The sequence below is a fragment of the Homo sapiens genome, chromosome 7 (genome assembly GCF_000001405.40).
Source record: "Homo sapiens chromosome 7, GRCh38.p14 Primary Assembly".
Lineage (NCBI taxonomy): Eukaryota > Metazoa > Chordata > Mammalia > Primates > Hominidae > Homo > Homo sapiens.
Genome location: NC_000007.14, coordinates 65,854,890 through 65,873,785, shown reverse-complemented (window position 1 = coordinate 65,873,785; position 18,896 = coordinate 65,854,890). Strand labels below are relative to the sequence as shown.

At 46.9% G+C, this 18,896-nt stretch overlaps 1 protein-coding gene and 1 pseudogene across 4 annotated transcripts in view, besides 5 other annotated features; one reads left to right on the top strand and one right to left on the bottom strand.

The window, feature by feature from the left end:
- The window catches only part of VKORC1L1 (vitamin K epoxide reductase complex subunit 1L1), a 93,787-nt gene extending 85,773 nt beyond the window's left edge, over positions 1-8,014 (bottom strand). For 3 of the 4 annotated variants that reach the window (XM_047419923.1, NM_173517.6, NM_001284342.3), the window contains exon 1: positions 221-712. In XM_047419923.1, coding sequence (XP_047275879.1) covers positions 221-555 — 335 coding nt within the window. In that variant the 5' untranslated portion in view covers positions 556-712. Of the gene's footprint in view, positions 1-220; positions 713-2,047; positions 2,142-7,986 lie in introns of those variants that run through there. The other variant, XM_011515831.3, reaches the window with a different exon arrangement.
- Positions 314-865: an enhancer, noted in NCBI's record as "H3K27ac hESC enhancer chr7:65337908-65338459 (GRCh37/hg19 assembly coordinates)". NCBI's record gives its function as "activates a minimal SCP1, AML or CMV promoter by ChIP-STARR-seq in primed H9 embryonic stem cells {active_cell/tissue: H9 hESC(primed)}" and the evidence as "EXISTENCE:reporter gene assay evidence [ECO:0000049][PMID:30033119]".
- Positions 314-940: a biological region, named in NCBI's record as "H3K27ac hESC enhancer GRCh37_chr7:65337908-65338459".
- Positions 441-940: a silencer, noted in NCBI's record as "silent region_18201". NCBI's record gives its function as "represses an Ori minimal core promoter by ATAC-STARR-seq in GM12878 lymphoblastoid cells {active_cell/tissue: GM12878}" and the evidence as "EXISTENCE:reporter gene assay evidence [ECO:0000049][PMID:35858748]".
- Positions 548-727: a silencer, noted in NCBI's record as "fragment chr7:65338046-65338225 (GRCh37/hg19 assembly coordinates)". NCBI's record gives its function as "represses an EF-1alpha promoter that drives an FKBP-Casp9 reporter gene in an ReSE screen in both phorbol 12-myristate 13-acetate-treated (for megakaryocytic differentiation) and untreated K562 erythroleukemia cells {active_cell/tissue: K562 | K562(+PMA)}" and the evidence as "EXISTENCE:reporter gene assay evidence [ECO:0000049][PMID:32094911]".
- Positions 961-1,020: a silencer, noted in NCBI's record as "silent region_18200". NCBI's record gives its function as "represses an Ori minimal core promoter by ATAC-STARR-seq in GM12878 lymphoblastoid cells {active_cell/tissue: GM12878}" and the evidence as "EXISTENCE:reporter gene assay evidence [ECO:0000049][PMID:35858748]".
- On the top strand, positions 14,020-14,126 carry RNU6-973P (RNA, U6 small nuclear 973, pseudogene; annotated as a pseudogene).

Sequence of the window (18,896 nt, the reverse complement as noted above, 5' to 3'; positions counted from 1 at the left end):
CGGCCCCGCCACCTCCGCCCCGCGGCCTGGGCTCAGGCCGCCCCCCGGGCAGGAGCGCCCCGCCGCCGCCCCCCGCCTGGCCCCGACCCGACCCCGTCAGTTCCCCAGCGGCCCGGTCCCCGCCGCCCCCAGGCCTGAGCTCCCGCCGCGCGCTCCCCACCCCGAGACTCCACCCTCGCCCCGCTCGGCCGCTCCTGGCCCACTCCCCCAAGCCGGCTACCTGGAGGCAAGGGCGGCGGAGCACTTCACCCAGGGCCCCAGGTCGCAGAGGGCCCGGTGCTCGGGGTCCCGCTCCTTCTCCCGCTCCACGTGGTAGGCGTAGATGGAGAGCAGGATTCCGGCAGCGCACACTGCATACCGGGCCACCCGCTCCCACCGCGGCACCGACACTCTTAGCAGGACGGGAGCCGCCATCTTCCCGCCGCCGCCGCCGCCGCCTCCCTCCGCCTCCACCTCAGCCGCCGCCGCCCGTCGGGGCCCGACCCAGCCGCCACCGCCGCCACCGCCGCCTCCGCCGCCGCCGCCACCACCGCCGCCGCCGCCGCCGCGCCCCATTGGCTCGGTGGCCTGCTCCGGGCCCCGCCCCCACAGGCGCGCGGCCCAACCGCCCCAAAAGGAGTGAGGCGGACGGGGCGGGGAAGGCGCGCGCGGGCGCGGAGGGAGGGGGTGGAGTGCGCAACGGCCGAAGAGGCCGGATCGGCGGGCGGAGACTGAGGCGGCGTGGCGCTGCGCCGCGCGGCCGGTCGCGCGCGAGGGGTGGAGCCCGGGGGAGAAAGGGGTGGGGCAGGGGTGGGGATGGGCGGGGCAGGGGTGGGGAGGGGCGGAGCCAGAGAGGGGCGGGGCCGAGCGGGCCAGTGCGGGAGGGACTTAAAGGAGCGGTCTAACTAGCACATTGCAAGGATGCCACTGTGGGTGACTGGGCGAACCCTCGGCCCCTCCCTCTGGGGATGGCAATCAATTGCCATCCTTTTTCCCTTTTTCGTTGTATATTTCTGACCCAATCCAAATCAACCCTGGCCAATGCTTGGAGCTCCAGAGACCCACACCTATGACCTGATCTTCCCACCACCACCTTCGGTTAGACCTGTGCAAAACTTTTTTTTTAATGTGCAAAACTATGTTTTAAATTTAAAAACTATTTTTAAAAAATGATTTATGGACCGGGTACAGTGGCTTACACCCGTAATCCCAACACTTTGGGAGGCCGAGGCAGGTGGATCACTTGAGGTCAGGAGTTCGAGACCAGCCTGGCCTACATGGCGTAACCGCGTCTCTACTAAAAATACAAAAAACAAACAAAAACAAATTAGCCCGGTGTCGTGGTGGGCGCCTGTAATCCCAGCTACTCGGGAGACTGAGGCATGAGAATTGCCGGAACCCGGGAGGTGGAGGTTGCAGTGAGCCAAGATCGTGCCACTGCACTCCAGCCTGGGCGATAGAGTAAGAGTCTCAAAAAAAAAAAGAGAGATTTACGAATGCCTTGCTTTTCCGTAAGCTGAATTTGAAGTTGCTTACCATAACTCATATAATATAGAAAAATAAAGATGAGCTAATACAATCAGGACGAAGAAAAAGAAAAGTCAGAATAAAATGAAAGGCCAGGAATAAGAACACAGATAAGCAGGCCATAGGGGCTTACATAGTTATTAAAATTGCATCATAAATTTGGCTCTGAGCTTCCTGGTGGCCAAAACTAAAAGGAAAACAGATGTATGTGCTTTTTCTCACTGTCTTTAAGAAGAAACACAGGGTTCTTGGAGATTTTCAGTGTTTCCCTGGTTGCAGCTTTCAATTTTTCAGGGGCTTTATATAGTGATTTTGAATAATAAGCAATATCCTTGTATTCGTTATCTATTGTTGGGTAAAAATCACCCCAAATTTAGCAGTTAATAAACAATAAACTTTTTTTTCCCTCACAGTTTCCACGGGCTAGGAATCTGGGTGAGGTTAGCTGTGTCCTCTGGCTCAGGCTCTCATGAGGATACAATCAAGCTGTCAGCCAGGGCTGCAGCTCTCTCAAGGCTTCAGAATCCTCTTTCAAACTCACTTCCACTGCTGCTGGCAGGCCTGAGGTCCTCTCTGGCTGTTGGCTGGAGACATCATTTCCTGTCCACTTGCACCTCTTGGTAAGAAGCGGCAGGCTTACCCCAGGGAGAGGGAGGAGAAAGAGGAAGAGACAGAAAAAGAAAATGAGAGTGAGATCACAGTCCTTTTTTGAAACCTAATCCCAGAAGTGACATCCCATCACTTTTACGAAGTCTATTGCTACTTAGAAAATAGTCTCTAGGTCCAGCCAGTCATGGTGGCTCACACCTGTAATCCCAGAATTTTGGGAGGCCGAGGTGGGTAGAGCACCTGAGGTCAGGAGTTCGAGACCAGCTGACCAACATGGTGAAACCCCGTCTCTACTAAAAATACAAAAATTAGCCGGATGCGGTGGCACATGCCTGTAAACCCAGCTACTTGGGAAGCTGAGGCATGAGAATCACTTGAACCTGGGAGGTGGAGGTTGCAGTGAGCCAAGCTCACACCATTGCACTCCAGCCTGGCTTACAAGGAAAAACTCCATCTCAAAAAAAGAAGAAAAAAAAGAAAGAAAGAAAGAAAAAGAAAATAGTCCCTAGGTCCAGCCCATGCTCAGAGGGAGAGGATTACACAGGACATGAATATGAGGAAGCTATCTACCACAGTCCTCAAAAACATCCTTGCTCTGCCCAGGTGGGGTGGCTCACAACACTTTGAGAGGCTGAGGCAGGAGGATTGCTTGAGGCCAGCAGTTCAAGACCAGCCTGAGCAACATAGGGAGCCCTGGTCTCTGCAAAAATATATACAAAATTAGCAAGGTGTGGTGCATGCCTGTTGTTCCAGCTACTTGGGAGGACTGACTGAGCCCAGAGGGCTTGGGGCAGGGGTGTGGATTGAGGCTGCAATGAGCCAACGTTGCCCCACTGCACTCCAGCCTGGATGACAGAATGACACACTGATTAAGAAACAAAAACAAAAAACAAAAACCTCACTCTACATCCCTAATGATTTTAATAAATCTAAGTAGACTCCTGCAACTTCCCTTCTTATAGATTCCTTTACTCAGTTGATGAGATCTCTTGATCATCTGGCTTCTTTCATCAATAGGTCTGGGAGGTTTACCCATGCTATTGTGAATAGTGATTGTTATTTTTCATTACTGTATAATAGTCCATTATATTAGATATCCACAATTTTACGTGTCCATTCTACTACGGATGGACATCTGGCCCATTTTTAGCTATCATGAATTAAATTGCTAACAACATTCTATAAATGACCTTTGATGCCTCATAAGCCCTCACTTATTTTTATTTTTATTTTTAAATTTGAGACAGAGTTTTGCTCTTGTTGCCCAGGCTGGAGGGCAATGATGCAATCTCGACTCACTGCAACCTCCACCTCCCATGTTCAAGTGATTCTCCTGCCTCAGCCTCCCAAGTAGCTGGGATTACAGGCATGCACCACCACGCCTGGCTTTTTTTTTTTTTTTTTTCTGTACTTAGTAGAGATGGGGTTTCACCATATTGGTCAGGCTGGTCTCGAACTCCTGACCTCAGGTGATCCACCCGCTTTGGCCTTGGGATTACAGGTGTGAGCCACCATGTCTGGCCCCCATATATATATTTTGAATGAATGAATGAATGAATGGACACTCAAAAAATGTTAGCTACTAGTATTTTTGCAGAAACAATAGGCCCACAGCAAATATCTTTTCCCAAATAAAAAGGAAGTCCTCACCACAGAGGTTAATTATTTCACCACTACAGAAAAAAAAAAACAAAAGCTTTTAAAAGAGTGTTTTGAGGCAGAGCACAGTGGCTCACGCTTGTAATCCCAATGCTTTGGGAGGCCAATGTGGGAGAATCGCTTGAGGCCAGGAGTTATCAACCAGCCTGGGCAACATAGCAAGACCCCATCTCTACAAAAAATAAAAATACAACATTAGCCAGGCGTGGTGGCACACACTGTAGCCCTAACTATTCAGGAGGCCAAGGCAGAAGGATTACTTGAGCCCAGGAGTTCAAGGCTACAGTGAGCTATGATCATGCCACTGCACTCCAGCCTGGGTGACAGAGAAAGACCCTGTCTCTAAAAAAAAAAAAAAAAAAAAAAAAAAAGAATGAAATCGTGTTTTGCCCTCTGTTATCTGAAGTCCTTCTGCTTTCCTGAGGATGTCAGCATCCATGTGGATGAGCATGCAATTCGCCTGACTCATCATCCCACGTCTTTCTCAGCTCTGATGACCTTTGCATCCACTCCCCAAAGCCGCCACAGGAATGGCTCTTATGATCCTTTTGGATGGCTAGATTTCTGAAATCTTAAACTCTGACATACTTTTCTACTTGCCCTCTGTGGCAAATTCTATATTCCAAGGTGGCTGCAACAAGTTCTGCCATCCCGTGTGCTTTTTTTACAATTTTTATTTATTTAGTTTTATTTTTATAAATTTTTTTTTTAGCTCTGTCACGCAGGCTGGAGTGCAGTGGTGTGATCTTGACTCACTGCAACCTCCATCAGCCAGGTTGAAGAGATTCTCCTGCCTCAGCCTTTGAGTAGCTGAGACTACAGGTGCCTGCCACCATGCCTGGCTAATTTTTGTATTTTTAGTAAAGACAGGTTTTCATCATGTTGGCCAGGCTGGTCTTGATCTCCTGACCTCAAGTGATCTGCCCGCCTCGGCCTCCCAAAGTGCTGGGATTACAGGTGTGAGCCACCACACTTGACAACTTACTCTTGAAGTAAAAGAAATACATTCAAAACCAAGGGAGAACATTGACTGATTGATACTCTGTATGAGACTTCACAACTGGACCAGGGGCAAATATTGTGGAGTGCTATATGCATATATTGTGGAGTGCTGAGGTCTGGGCTTTGTGTGTAGCCATGATTCAAATAGTGAACATTGTACTCAATAGGAAATTTTCACCCCTCACCCTCCTCCCATCCTCCCATCTTTTGGAGTCTCCAATATCTGTTGCTCCTCATGTGTACCTATTGTTTAACTCCCATGTATGAGAACATTCAGTATTTGACTTTGTTTCTGAATTATTTCACTGAGGAGAATGGCCTCCAGTTCTATCCACAGTGATGCAAAAGACACGATTTCATTCTTTATGTGGCTAGGTCATGTTCCGTGGTGTACATGTACCATATTTTCTTTATCCAATCATCTGTTGATGGACACTTAGGTTGATTCCATATCTTTGCTACTATGAATAGTGCTGTGATAAACATATGAGTACAGGTACTTTTTGATATATTGATTTCTTTCCCTTTGGGTAGATATCTAGTAGTGAGATTGCTGGTTGGATTGCAGTTCTATTTTTAGTTTTTTGAGAAATCTCCCTACTGTTTTCTGTAATGGTTGTACTAATTTACATTCCCACCAACGGTGTATAAGCGTTCCTTTTTTCTCTGAATCCTCACCAACATCTTTTTTTTTCTGACTTTCAATTTTTTATTTGTATAGAGATGGGGGTCTCATTATGTTGCCGAGGCTGGTCTCGAACTCCTGACCTCCAGTTATCTGCCCACCTCAGCCTCTCAAAGTGCAAGGTTACAGGTGCGAGCCATCTCACCTGACTGTTTTCTGACTTTTTACTAATAGCATGTGCTAGGTGTGGTGGCTGACACCTGTAATCCCAGCACTTTGGGAGGCCTAGGCAGGTGAATCACCTGAGGTCAGGAGTTTGAGACCAGCCTGGCCAACATGGGGAAACCCTATCTCTACTAAAAGTGCAAAAATTAGCTGGGCATGGTGGCATGTGCCTGTAATGCCAGCTACTCGGGAGGCTGAGGCAGGAGAATCACTTGAATCTGGGAGGTGGAAGTTGCAGTGAGTCGAGATTGCACAACTGGACTCCAGCCTGGGTGACAGAGCAAGACATAATAATAATAATAGCATGTGCTCTTCTTCAACATAACTTTAACATTGCTCCCATGGTGAGGTCAGGTCTGTGCTCCTCCCCCTTGAATTCAAGAAGGTCTGTGACTGGCAGAAGTGATTCAAGGTAGCTCATAAAAGGGGACACCTTTTCTCCATGGTCTTCCTGGGATGCTTGCTCTTTGAACCCAGCCACCATGCTGTGAGGAAGCCCAGATCACAGGGAGAGGCCACATTTTGATGTTCCAATCAACAGTCCCAGCACAGGTTTCAGATGACAGCCAACATCAGTTGCCAGACATGGGACTGAAGAAGGCTTTGTGAAGACTCCAGCCCCAGCCACTGCAACAGCATGAGACACCCCGAGTGAAAATCACCTACCTGAACCCAGTCAACTCCCAGAACCATGAAAAAAAAAAGATGATTTTAAGCACCCAAAGTTTTGGGGTTATATATTATGCAATAAGAGTAACTTAAATATCCTCATTCCCTTCTAGCTTTTCGAATCTCTTACTCACCAAACCTAGTCTCTCTCTGAAGACCTGCTCTGCCTTAATCAATATTTTCCCCATAGACCCAGCGAGAGGTAGGTTGGGTTATCTTCCTACTCTTCATGGCTGCTCAGAGACCATTTCTTCTTCTTCTTCTTCTCCTACTCCTTCTCCTTCTCCTTCTTCTTTCTTTTTTTAGTGATGGAGTCTCCCTCTGTCACCAGGCTGGAGCGCAGTGGCACAATCTCAGCTCACTGCAACCTCTGCTTCCTGGGTTCAAGTGATTCTCCTGCCTCAACCTCCTGAGTAGCTGGGACTACAGGCACATGCCACCACGCCCAGCTAATTTTTGTATTTTTATTAGAGATGGGGTTTCATGATGTTGGCCAGGATGGTCTTCATCTGTTGACCATGATCTGCCCACCTCGGCCTCCGAAAGTGCTGGGATTACAGGCATGAGCCACCACACCCAGCTCTTCTTCTATTTTTTCTTCCTCCTCTTCTTCCCCCTCCTCCTCTTCCTCCTCGACAGGGTCTCACCTCCCCAGGCTCAAGCAATTCTCCCACCTCAGCCTCCCGAGTAGCTGTGACCGCATGTGCATGCCACCGTACCCAATTGATTTCTTTTTATTTTTTGTAGAGATGGGGGTCTCACTATGTCACTCAGGCCAGCCTCAACCTTTTGGGCTCAAGTGATGCTCCTGCCTCAGCCTCCCACAGTGTTGGGATTACAAGTATGAAGCACTGAGCCCAGACTAATTTTTCATCTTCTTTAGTTAACCTAACTGTCTCTGTGTTCTCCAGCATTCTATTCCCTTGAATACTCAATCTCCTGTGTGGCTGCTGCAGGTCCTGGAATCTTTTTAGGATTTCCTCTCTAAAGGCCATTCAAAAAGTGGTGAGTTAATTTGCCCACAGTCCACAGTCCACATTGCAGCCATCAGCAAAGCCAAATGCCAGCCGTGCCTGGATCTCCCTGCATGCCACATTCATCCTTATCTTGCACACATTTCCTTCACTATGCGAGGACAAGAACACTTTTGAGCTAATGAACGTGCATGTTCTCTGTTCAAAGTAAAACACATAATAAATAACCCCCACCAAGATGCTCACTTCCTGGTGGGTCTGTGTGTTAAAAGCAGTTGTCTTCAAATCTAACTCCTATGAATGTTTATACTTCTGTTTATTCTAAAACTCCCTAATTAGAGACTTCCCAGTATCTTGCAATTCCTCAACAAGTCATACGGAGCCCAGGAATAATTTTTTTTTTGAGACGGAGTCCCACTCTATCACCAGGCTAGAGTGCAGTGGCACCATCTCAGCTCACTGCAACCTCTACCTCCCAGGTTCAAGTGCCCTTCTTAGCCCCTCGAGTAGCTGGGATTACAGGCATGTGCCACCACACTGAGCTAATTTTTGTACTTTTAGTAGAGACAGGATTTCACCATGTTGGCCAGGATGGTCTCGATCTCTTGACCTCGTGATCCTCCCACCTCAGCCTCCCAAAATGCTGGGATTATAGGCGTGAGCCACGGTGGCAGGCCAGGAATAAATTATTCAAAAATAATTAACAAAAGGCTTTACCTTGTTTCATCATTTAGTTGATGAACTTTTCCAGTTTAATTAGTCTCACCAATATAGAAAACATTTTTAGAAGAGGCCTCTTTGGGTTAAGAACAAGTGTCTTTCTTTCTAGCTGCTCTAGAGAAGAAGAAGAAGAAGAGAAAACAACAAGGCCCATTTTAGGAACCTTTTAACCATGAGTAGAACACAACACAAGGAAAACTTTCTCTTTTATATAAGAAATATATTTTGGCCGGGTGTGGTGGCTCACGCCAGTAATCCCAGCACTTTGGGAGGCCAAAGCAGGCAGATCACCTGAGGCCATGAGTTTGAGACCAGCTTGGCCAACAAGATGAAACACTGTCTCTACTAAAAATACAAAAATTAGCCGGGTGTAGTGGTGGGCACCCATAATTGCAGCTACTCGGGAGGCTGAGGCAGGAGAATCACTTGAACCAGGAGGTGGAGGTTACAGTAAGCGGAGTTTGTGCCATTGCACTCCAGCCTGGGTGACAGAGAGAGACTCTATCTCAAAAAAAAAACAAAAAAAAAAGAAGGAAGGAAGGAAGGAATTTCACAAAAGCGCATTTAATGCAGGCAACTTTTAAGCATCAGAGAAATTTGTCTGGATTAAGTCCAGAGACGCAGTGTTGCGTTGCTTACAAGAATGGTTTGGAATCCCAGCTCTACCGCGTTAATAACTGCCTGTGCCTAGCAAGGTACTTAACTCCCCTTTGCCTCAGTATCTTCTCCATAAAATGGGGATGGCAGTAGTACAGTGGTCCATGCCTCTGAGGGTTTGAGGAGAATCAGTTACATGGTGACAGGCACATAGTTAATGTTCAATAAATGCTATAGCTATTATCTTCATTCTTGTCTCTATGGGTGAAAGAAAAATGCAACATTGGATCAGATTAAATTCTTCTGGAAGCAATGGCTTAAAATAAACTGCTATTCAAAAACTAAAATTATCATACTGGGCTAAAGCTATCCAAAATGTAAGTGATCTATCTTCCAGTAATTCCACAAAATAGATAAATGTGTACACAGTTACTTAGAAGAACATTTAACAACTGCATTTAAATGTAGATTCTTGGCTGGGCATGGTGGCTCACACCTCGAATCCCAGAAATTTGGGAGGCCAAGTTGGGTGGATCACCTGAGGTTAGGAGTTTGAGACCAGCCTGGCCAACATTGTGAAACCCTGTCTCTACTAAAAATACAAAAATTAGTTGGGCATGTTGGCGGGCATCTGTAATCCCAGCCACTCAGGAGGCTAAGGCCAGAGAATCATTTGAACCCAGGAGGTGGAGGTTGCAGTGAGCTGAGATCGCACAACTGCACCTCAGCCTGGGTGACAGAGACTCCATTTTAAAAAGAGCAAATAAGTAAATAAATGTAAATTCTTGGGCTTTGTTTCATTCATGATTCCCACCAGCAGAGCGACCTAAGAATGTAAATATATATATATATTTTTTGAAATTATTATATTGCTTTATTTGATATTTTCCATTTCTTCTCTTATTAAATACATTTACTTTCATGGCATATTATACTATGTAACTTCTTAGTTCTATTTTTTTATTACAGTTTAAGTTTTAGGGTACATGTGCACAACGTGCAGATTTGTTACATATGTATACATGTGCCATGTTGGTGTGCTGCACCCATTAACTCGTCATTTAACATTAGGTATATCTCCTAATGCTATCCCTCCCCCCTCCCCCCACCCCACAACAGGCCCCGGTGTGTGATGCTCCCCTTCCTGTGTCCATGTGTTCTCATTGTTCAGTGCCCACCTATGAGTGAGAACATTCGGTGTTTGGTTTTTTATTAAGCCCTCTAGTGACCTTTATGATCAGGCAAACTCAGGTAATAACATTGAACGGTTGGTGAGTGCATATTTTCCAGGTTAAAATGATATTGGGTATAGAGCAGCAGTTCTCAAATTTGAAGTGCTTAAGAATCACCAGGAAAATTGTTAAAAATTACATGTCCAGAGGTTTAGATATCCAGAGATTTAGATTCAGAGCTCTGGGAGACACTAAAAAATCTGCGTTTTTTAAACCAGTTTCTTCTCTCCAGGGTGAATAATTCAGACGCACTTGTCTTCATTCTGTGCTGCTATAACAGGTAATTTATAATGAACAGAAATTTATTTGACTCAGGGTTCTGGAGGTTGGGAAGTCTGAGTAGAGGGGCTACATCTGGTGAGGGCCTTCTTGCTATATCAGACAATGGCAGAAAGTATCACATGGTGAGAGAGAGCAGGAAGGGGGCAGAACTCATCCTTCATAAGAAACTCACTCGCATCATAATGAACCCCACTCCCACAATAACGACATTAATCCATTCCTGAAGGCAAAGTCTTCCTGACCTAATTATCTCTTAAAGGTTGCACCGCTCAACATTGTTGCATTGGGGATTAAGTTTCCAACACATTAACTTTGGAGGATACATTCAAACCATAGCATTCTGCCCCAACCACCCAAATTCATGTTCTTCTCACCTGCAAAATACATTCATTCCATCCCAATAGCTCCAAAAGTCTTAATTTGTTTCAGGACCAACTCAAAAGTTTAAAGTTCAGAGTCTCATCTAAATCAGATATGGGTGAGACCCACGGCACAATTCATTCTGAGGCAACAGCTGTGAGCCTGTGAAATTAAAAAAAAAAAAAAGGTGCCTCCAAAATATAATGGTAGGACAGATATAAGGCAGATATTTTCTTTCTTTGTTTTTGTTTTTGAGATGGCGTCTCACTCTGTCGCCCAGGCTGGTGTGCAGTGGCACGATCTCGGCTCACTGCAAGCTCGGCCTCCCGGGTTCACGCCATTCTCCTGCCTCAGCCTCCAGAGTAGCTGGGACTACAGGTTCCCATCACCACACCCAGCTAATTTTTTGTATTTTTAGTAGAGACGGGGTTTCACCATGTTAGCCAGGATGGTTTCAATATCCTGACCTCGTGATCCACCCGCCTCGGCCTCCCAAAGTGCTGGGATTACAGGCATGAGCCACCACGCCTGGCCACTTTTTTTTTTTTTTTGAGACGGAGTTTCGCTCGTTGCCCAGGCTGTAGTGCAATGGCACAATTTCGGCTCACTGCAACCTCCACCTCCTGATTTCAAGCGATTCTCCTGCCTTGGCCTCCTGAGTAGCTGGGATTACAGGGGCCCGCCATCACACCCAGCTAAGTTTTTTTTTTTTTCTTTTGAGATGGAGTCTTGCTCTGTCGCCCAGGCTGGAGTGCAGTGGCTATATCTCAGCTCACTGCAAGCTCCGCCTCCTGGGTTCAGGCCATTCTCCTGCCTCAGCCTCCTGAGTAGCTGGGACTACAGGTGCCCGCCACCATGCCCGTCTAATTTTTTGTACTTTTTTTAGGAGAGATGGGGTTTCACCATGTTAGCCAGGATGGTCTCGATCTCCTGACCTCGTGATCCGCCCTCCTCGGCCTCCCAAAGTGCTGGGATTACAGGCATGAGCTCCACCTCTGTGACAAACTTCTGCCTGGGGCGCCCAGCTGTTCAACACATGTTTTGAAATCTAGGTGGAGGGCTGGGCGCCATGGCTCATGCTTGTAATCCCAGCACTTTGGGAGGCCGAGGCGGGTGGATCACGAGGTCAGAAGATCGAGACCATCTTGGCTAACACAGTGAAACCCCGTCTCTACTAAAAATACAAAAAATTAGACGGGCGTGGTGGCGGGCACCTGTAGTCCCAGCTACTTGGGAGGCTGAGGCAGAAGAATGGCGTGAACCCGGGAGGTGGAGCTTGCAGTGTGAGCTGAGATCACGCCACTGCACTCCAGCCTGGGCAACAGAGCAAGACTCTATCTCAAAAAAAAAAAAAAAAAAAAAAGAAAGAAATCTAGGTGGAGCCCACCATAGCCCCACAGTTCATATACTCTGCACATATGCTGAGTTAGCACTGTGTGGATGCCACCATGGTTTATAATCCTGTATCTCTTCTGGAGTGGTGGCTAGACCTACTTAAGCTATTGAAGTTGATTGTATTCGTCTGTTCTCACGCTGCTAACAAAGACATACCTGAGACTGGGTAATTTATAAAGGAAAGAGGTTTAATGGACTCTCTGTTCAGCATGGCTGGGGAGGCCTCACAATTGTGACCAAAGGCAAAGGAAGACCAAAAGCACATCTTCCATGGTGGCAGGCAAGAAAGCATGTGCAGGGAAACTGCCCTTTTATAAAACTAACAGATCTCCTGAGACTTATTCACTATCAATGAGAACAGCATGGGAAAAACGCACTCCCATGATTCAATTACCTCCTACTGGGTCCCTGCCACAACATGTGGGGATTATGGGAGCTAAAATTAAAGAAGCGATTTGGGTGGGGACACAGCCAAACCATATCATTGGTTTTTCCCCAGGTTCCCCCATATAAGTCAGTGAATGTAGATGGATACTTGTGACAAAGGGAACCATTGTGGTCCAGACACTGAATACACTGAAGTCCCAGCTGCTGTTCTGCCAGGATTCCCTGTGCCACCTGCCAGGACCTCCCCTCAAGCACCTCCCTGTTCAGGAGATGCCCATCTATTCAAGAGAGAGTGTTCATAATTTTCTTTTTCTTTTCTTTTCTTTTTTTTTTGAGGCAGAGTCTCTTGCTCTGTCGCACAGGCTGGAGTGCAGTGACATGATCTCAGCTCACTGCAACCTCTACCTCCCAGGCTCAAGCAATTCTTCTGACTCAGCCTACTGAGAAGCTGGGATTGCAGGCGCACACCACTATGCCTGACTAATTTTTTGTATTTTTATTAGAGACCAGGTTTTGCCATGTTGGCCAGGCTGGTCTCGAACTCCTGACCTTGAGTGATCTGCCCCACTCGGCCTCCCAAAGTGCTGGAATTACAGGCGTGAGCCACCGTGCCTGGCCAATTTTCATAATTTTCTTTACCTCCACTGTGGTGGGAGAACTGACTTCAGAGAAAGCCATCCTGGACAGGTGAGGTGGCCCCACGAGGAACAGGTTTCAATCAAATGTTTTGTAGGCAGTGATGCCCGTGCACCCTGGTGAGAAGGAGCATGGCGTGAACATCAGGAACCAGACTTCACCCTGGAGGAAAGGCCACAGGTGGGGGCTGAAGGAGCAGTTCTTACAAGCGATCCTGTGGGCACTGGGGCCACACCACGCACCTTGGTGCACAAGTGTCAGTGTGGCTCAGAGTGGGGTAGAGGACTCAGGGTATTAAAAGCATCAAGGAATCCAGGGAGAGCCACCGCACCCAACTTTACTTTCACCCACAGGCTTTCATCATGTTGGCCAGACTGGTCTCCAACTTCTGACCTCAAGTGATCCACCTGCCTTGGTCTCCTAAAGTGCTGGGATTACAGGCATAAGCCACCATGGCTGGCCAAGATTAGGTCTAATTTTTAAAGTAATCTGGAGCATAGAAAATGTTTCTGCAATTATTACTCTTTTTTTTTTGAGACAGGGTCTCACTCTGTCACCCAAGCTGGACTGCAGTGACATGATCATGGCTCACTAAAGCCTCACCCTCTTGGGCTTAAGCGATCTTCCTGCCTCAGCCTTCCAAGAGCTGGGACTACATGCGTGCACCATCGTGCCCAGCTAATTTTTTAGTTCTTATACAGACAGGGGTCTCACTATGTTGTCCAGACTGGTTTTGAACACATGGGCTCGAGAGATCCTCCCACCTTGGCTTCCTCAAATGCTGGGATTACAGGCATGAGCCACCACACCTGGCCTCACATATTTTGATATATAAAACACCAAAGATCTTTTTAAGGAGCTAAAGAAACCAGTAATTTTTAAAGAAAAAAGTAGTGGGAGTGTCTAGTACAACCAAAACCAGGCATCAAAGTCAGCAGTTAAACATTCCAGGCTGGGCACAGTGGCTCATGCCTGTAATCTCAACACTTTGGGAGGCCCAGGCAGGAGGACTGCTTGAGCCCTGGGGAGCAGAGGTTGCAGTGAGCCACGATAATACCACAGTATTCCAGCCTGGAAGACACAGTGAAACCCTGTCTCAAAAACAGACAAACAAACAAATCAATCAATCAATCCAGAACCAGTGCTCACTTCGGCAGCACATATACAAAAGGTGGCATGACATGGAGAAGATAAGCATGGTCCCTGTGAAAGGATGACAAACAAATTCATGAAGCATTCCATATTTTAAAAAATATTTCAGAACCAAGAAAATAAATGAATCAAAAGAAAGGGAAGACCTTGGTGATTCCTTTGATATCAGAAAAAATCAGCTGGGCACAATGGCTCATGCCTGTAATCCTAGCACTTTGGGAGGCCAAGGCAGGCAGATCATTTGAGGTCAGGAGTTGGAGACCAGCCTGACCAACATGGTGAAACTCCGTATCTACTAAAAGTCCAAAAATTAGGCCGGGTGCAGTGTCTCATGCCTCTAATCCTAGCACTTTGGGAGGCCAAGGCAGGCGGATCACTTGAGATCAGGAGTTCGAGACCAGCCTGGCCAACATGGTGAAACCTTGTCTTTACAAAAAATACAAAAATTAGCCGGGTGTGGTGGTGGGCACTTGTAATCCCAGCTACTCAGGAGTCAGAGGCAGGGAGAATCACTTGAACCCAGGAGGTGGAGGTTGCAGTGAGCTGAGATCGCACCATTGCACTCCAGCCAGGGTGACAGGGCAAGACTCCATCTCAATAAATAAATAAATAAATAAATAAATAAATAAATAAAGTACAAAAATTAGCTGGGCATTACATGCCTGTAATCCCAGCTACATGGGAGGCTGAGGCAGGAGAATCTCTTGAACCCGGGAGGCGGAGGTTGCAGTGAGCTGAGATCACACCACTGCACTCCAGCCTGTGTGACAGAGCGAGACTCTGTCTAAAAAAATTAAATAAATAAAATAAAATGAAATAAAGTTTTCATTTGCAATTCTGAATTTGGCAAGAGGAGTGAACTGTGGCCCAGTGACTGGCACACAGCATTTTAGAGTTCATGGCATAATCCTTGGGAAACTGTTTTCGCCAAAGTTGTGGCTTCATCTCTGACCACTCACTTTATTCAAAAGACCTGGCTCAAAATGACTATTTATGGAAATCAACTCTAGCCTCAAAAGACAAAACCACTGTAGTTCTAAAGATATTCAAAAAATTAAGGTAATTAAAAAGCAATGAAGGGCCAGGCACAATGTCTCATGCCTGTAATCCCAGCACTTTGGGAGGCTGCAGCAGAAGGATCACTTGAGGCCAGGAGTTTGAGGCCAGCCTGAGCAACATAGTGAGACCCTGTCTCTACAAAATAATTTTAAAAATTAGCTGGTCGGCCGGGTGCGGTGGCTCACGCCTGTAATCCCAGCAGTTTGGGAGGCCGAGATGGGTGGATCACGAGGTCAGGAGATCGAGACCATCCTGGCTAACACGGTGAAACCCTGTCTCTACTAAAAATACAAAAAATTAGCTGGGCATGGTGGCGGGTGCCTGTAGTCCCAGCTACTCAGGAGGCTGAGACAGGAGAATGGCCTGAACCCGGGAGGTGGAGCTTGTAGTGAGGCAGTGAGCCGAGATCACGCCACTGCACTCCAGCCTGGTCGACAGAGTGAGACTCGGTCTCAAAAAAAAAAAAAAAAAATTAGCTGGGCATGGTGGTGTTAGCCTGTTGTCCCAGCTACTCCAGAGGCTGGGATGGGAGGATTACTTGAGGCCAAGAATTGGAGGTTGCAGTGAGCCAGGACTGCACCATTGCTCTCCACCCTGGGTGACAGAGAGATTTTGTCTCTAAAAATGAAATAAAGGAAGCAAGGAAGGGCTTCTCCTCCAAATACTCCCACTTCATTTGGGGCAATTACAAGGTTCCAGGAAACATGAAAAACCTACCCTGACTACCTTTTTGGATATATGCTAATGGGAAAACAAATCTCATTAATTAACTCACAGAACAGCTAAGAGAAAAGGATCTTAGGGGACGTGTGGTTTCACTCCTAAGTTTAAACATGAGGAAATGGGTACCAAAGAGGTGAAATAACTCACCAGGTAGAGAGAGAAGAGCCTCTCTTACTACAAGGGGTCTCTCACTGAAAAACCAGCGAAACTCGTTCCTTGCCTGCATTCTCCAAGATCATAGCCCAACATAGAATAGAAATGTCTCCACTTCAGAGGACAACCGGTTTGTCCTTTGCCTTTTACACCCCTTTCAGCAAGGAGTATTTCTCAACTTTGTATTTGTGCAAACCCTTGAGCAGCACAAACTTCTTAGCTAAGAGACACTCCACTCTGTTTGCAATTGAGGGCAAAGGCTGGGATGCTTGGGCACAGCTCCAGGGTCCTTTCCCAGAGGTCTGGGGTGGCTGGAAAAAAAAGCATTTATTTTTCACACACTGAAGAGACTTGGCTCATCAAGTAGAGGTAAACTTTCTCTGTCTCTCTCTCACTATATATATATATATATATATATATTATATATAAGTATATATTATATATTATATATATATTTTTTTTTTTAAATTTTTTTTTTGAGACGGAGTTTCACTCTTGTTGCCCAGGCTGGAGTGCAATGGAGCTATCTTGGCTCACTGCAACCTCCCATTTCCTGAGTTCAAGTGATTCTCCTGCCTCAGCCTTCCAAGTAGCTGGGATTACAGGCACCCACTACCATGCCCAGCTAATTTTTGTATTTTTATTTATTTTACTGACTTATTTTTATTTTTTTTCGAGACAGAGTTTTACTCGTCACACAGGCTGGAGAGCAATGGCGCGATCTCGGCTCACTGCAACCTCCACCTCCCGGGTTCAAGTGATTCTCCCTTCCTCAGCCTCCCAAGCAGCTAGGATTACAGGCACTCACTGCCATGCCCAACTAATTTTTGTATTTTTTAGTAGAGATGGGATTTCACCATGTTGGCCAGGCTGGTGTCAAACTCCTGACCTCAAATGATCTGCCTGCCTCAGCCTCCCCAAGTGCTGGGATTATAGGCATGAAACACTACACCCGGGCTCAGAAAACTTTTTTTTTTTTTTTGAGACAGTCTTGCTCTGTCGCCCAGGCTGGAGTGCAATGGCATGATCTCAGCTCACTGCAACCTCCGCCTCCTGTGTTCAAGTGATTCTCCTGCCTCAGCCGCCCGAGTAGCTAGGATTGCAGGTGCCCGCCACCATGCCCTGCTAATTTTTGTATTTTTAGTAGAGATGGGGTTTCGCCATGTTGGTCAGGCTGGTCTCGAACTCCTGACCTCAGGTGATCCGCCCGTCTAGGCCTCCCAAAGTGCTGAAATTATAGGCATGAGCCACCACACCCAGCCCTTCTTCCATTCTTGCTCAAATTTTCCTTTTTCTTCTTCTCTGTCTTTCTGCCTCCTTTTTTTTTTTTCTTAATACCCTGGAAATCACAGGGAATACATATTAATCTTAATTCCAAGGGCAATCTTTAAAATTTCCTTTAGAGCCAGGGCCTTGCTCTATCACCCAGGCTGGAGTGCAGTGGTGAGATCTTGGCTCACTGTAACCTCTGCCTCCTGGGCTCAAGTGATCCTCACACCTCAGCCTCCCAAGTAGTTGGGACTACAGGTGTGTGCCACTGCACTCGGCTAATCTGAAAAACATCCTTTTGGAGCAATGGAGTTTTGCTATGTTGCCCAGGCTGGGTCTTGATCTCCTGGTCTCAAGAATTTCTCCTGCCTTGGCTTCTCAAATTGTTAGGATTACAGGAATGAGTCACTATACCTGGCCACTTTTTTAATGGAGAAGAGTCCAAGAAACACTATTTCTGATAAAAACACCAGCTAAACTCTTTAAATGTTGCTTTTTTACACTCTCAATTTTCTCCCTTTATCTCTTAGCATCAAATTTCATTTAATTCCTCTAGATACAACTTCCCTTCTTTTTTTTTTTCCTGGAGACAGAGTGTCACTCTATCCCCCAGGCTGGAGCGCAGTGGCATGATCTCAGCTCACTGCAACTTCCGCCTCCTGGGTTCAAGTGATTCTCCTGCCTCAAACTCTCCCGAGTAGGTGGGATTACAGGCACCCACCACCGTGCCTGGTTAATTTTTGTATTTTTAGTAGAGACAGCATTTTACCATGTTGGCCAGGCTGGTCTCAAACTCCTGACCTCAAGTGATCCACCTGCCTCAGCCTCCCAAAATGCTGGGATTAGAGGCATGATCAACCGTGCCCAGCAACTTACTCTTGAAGTAAAACAAATACATTCAAAACCAGGAATAACATCGACTGATTGATACTCTGTATAAGACTTCACAACTGGACCAGGAGCGGTGGCTCACACCTGTAATCCCAGCACTTTGGGAGCCTGAGGCAGGCAGATCACCTGAGATCAGGAGCTGAAGACCAGCATGGCCAACACGGTGAAACCCCTTTACTAAAAATACAAAAATTAGCTGGGCATGGTGGCGGGTGCCTGTAGTCCCAGCTACTCGGGAGGCTGAAGAAGGGAGAATCACTTGAACCTGGGAGGTGGAGGTTGCACCACCATGCCCAGTGTCAGAAACAAACTCACCTGTCCAAACACAAAGAATGGACTCAGATACCCAGAGAACAGCGAAAGTAAGACTTTTAACGATGGTCTTGCAGGATTGGGTGTCTGATAGGCAGGCACACTCATAACAGTTTCAACAAGCAATTTATCCTCTTGTGTGCAGGTCCCTCCCGCTTCCTCATACATAGGCTGAGTACTATGGGGTCACAATCTTCCTGGATGTCACCTATTGGTTGTTGGATAGGGGCTTTAGGTGTCTTTTTTGTTTGTTTTTTTAAGATGGAGTCTTGCTCTGTCGCCCAGGTGGGAGTGCAGTGGCGCAATCTCGACTCACTGCAACCTCTGCCTCCCAGGTTCTTGCCATTCTCCTCCCTCAGCCTACTGAGTAGCTTGGATTACATGCGCCCGCCACCACGCCCAGCTATTTTTCTTTGTATTTTTAGTAGATACGGGGTTTCACCGTGTTAGCCAGGATGG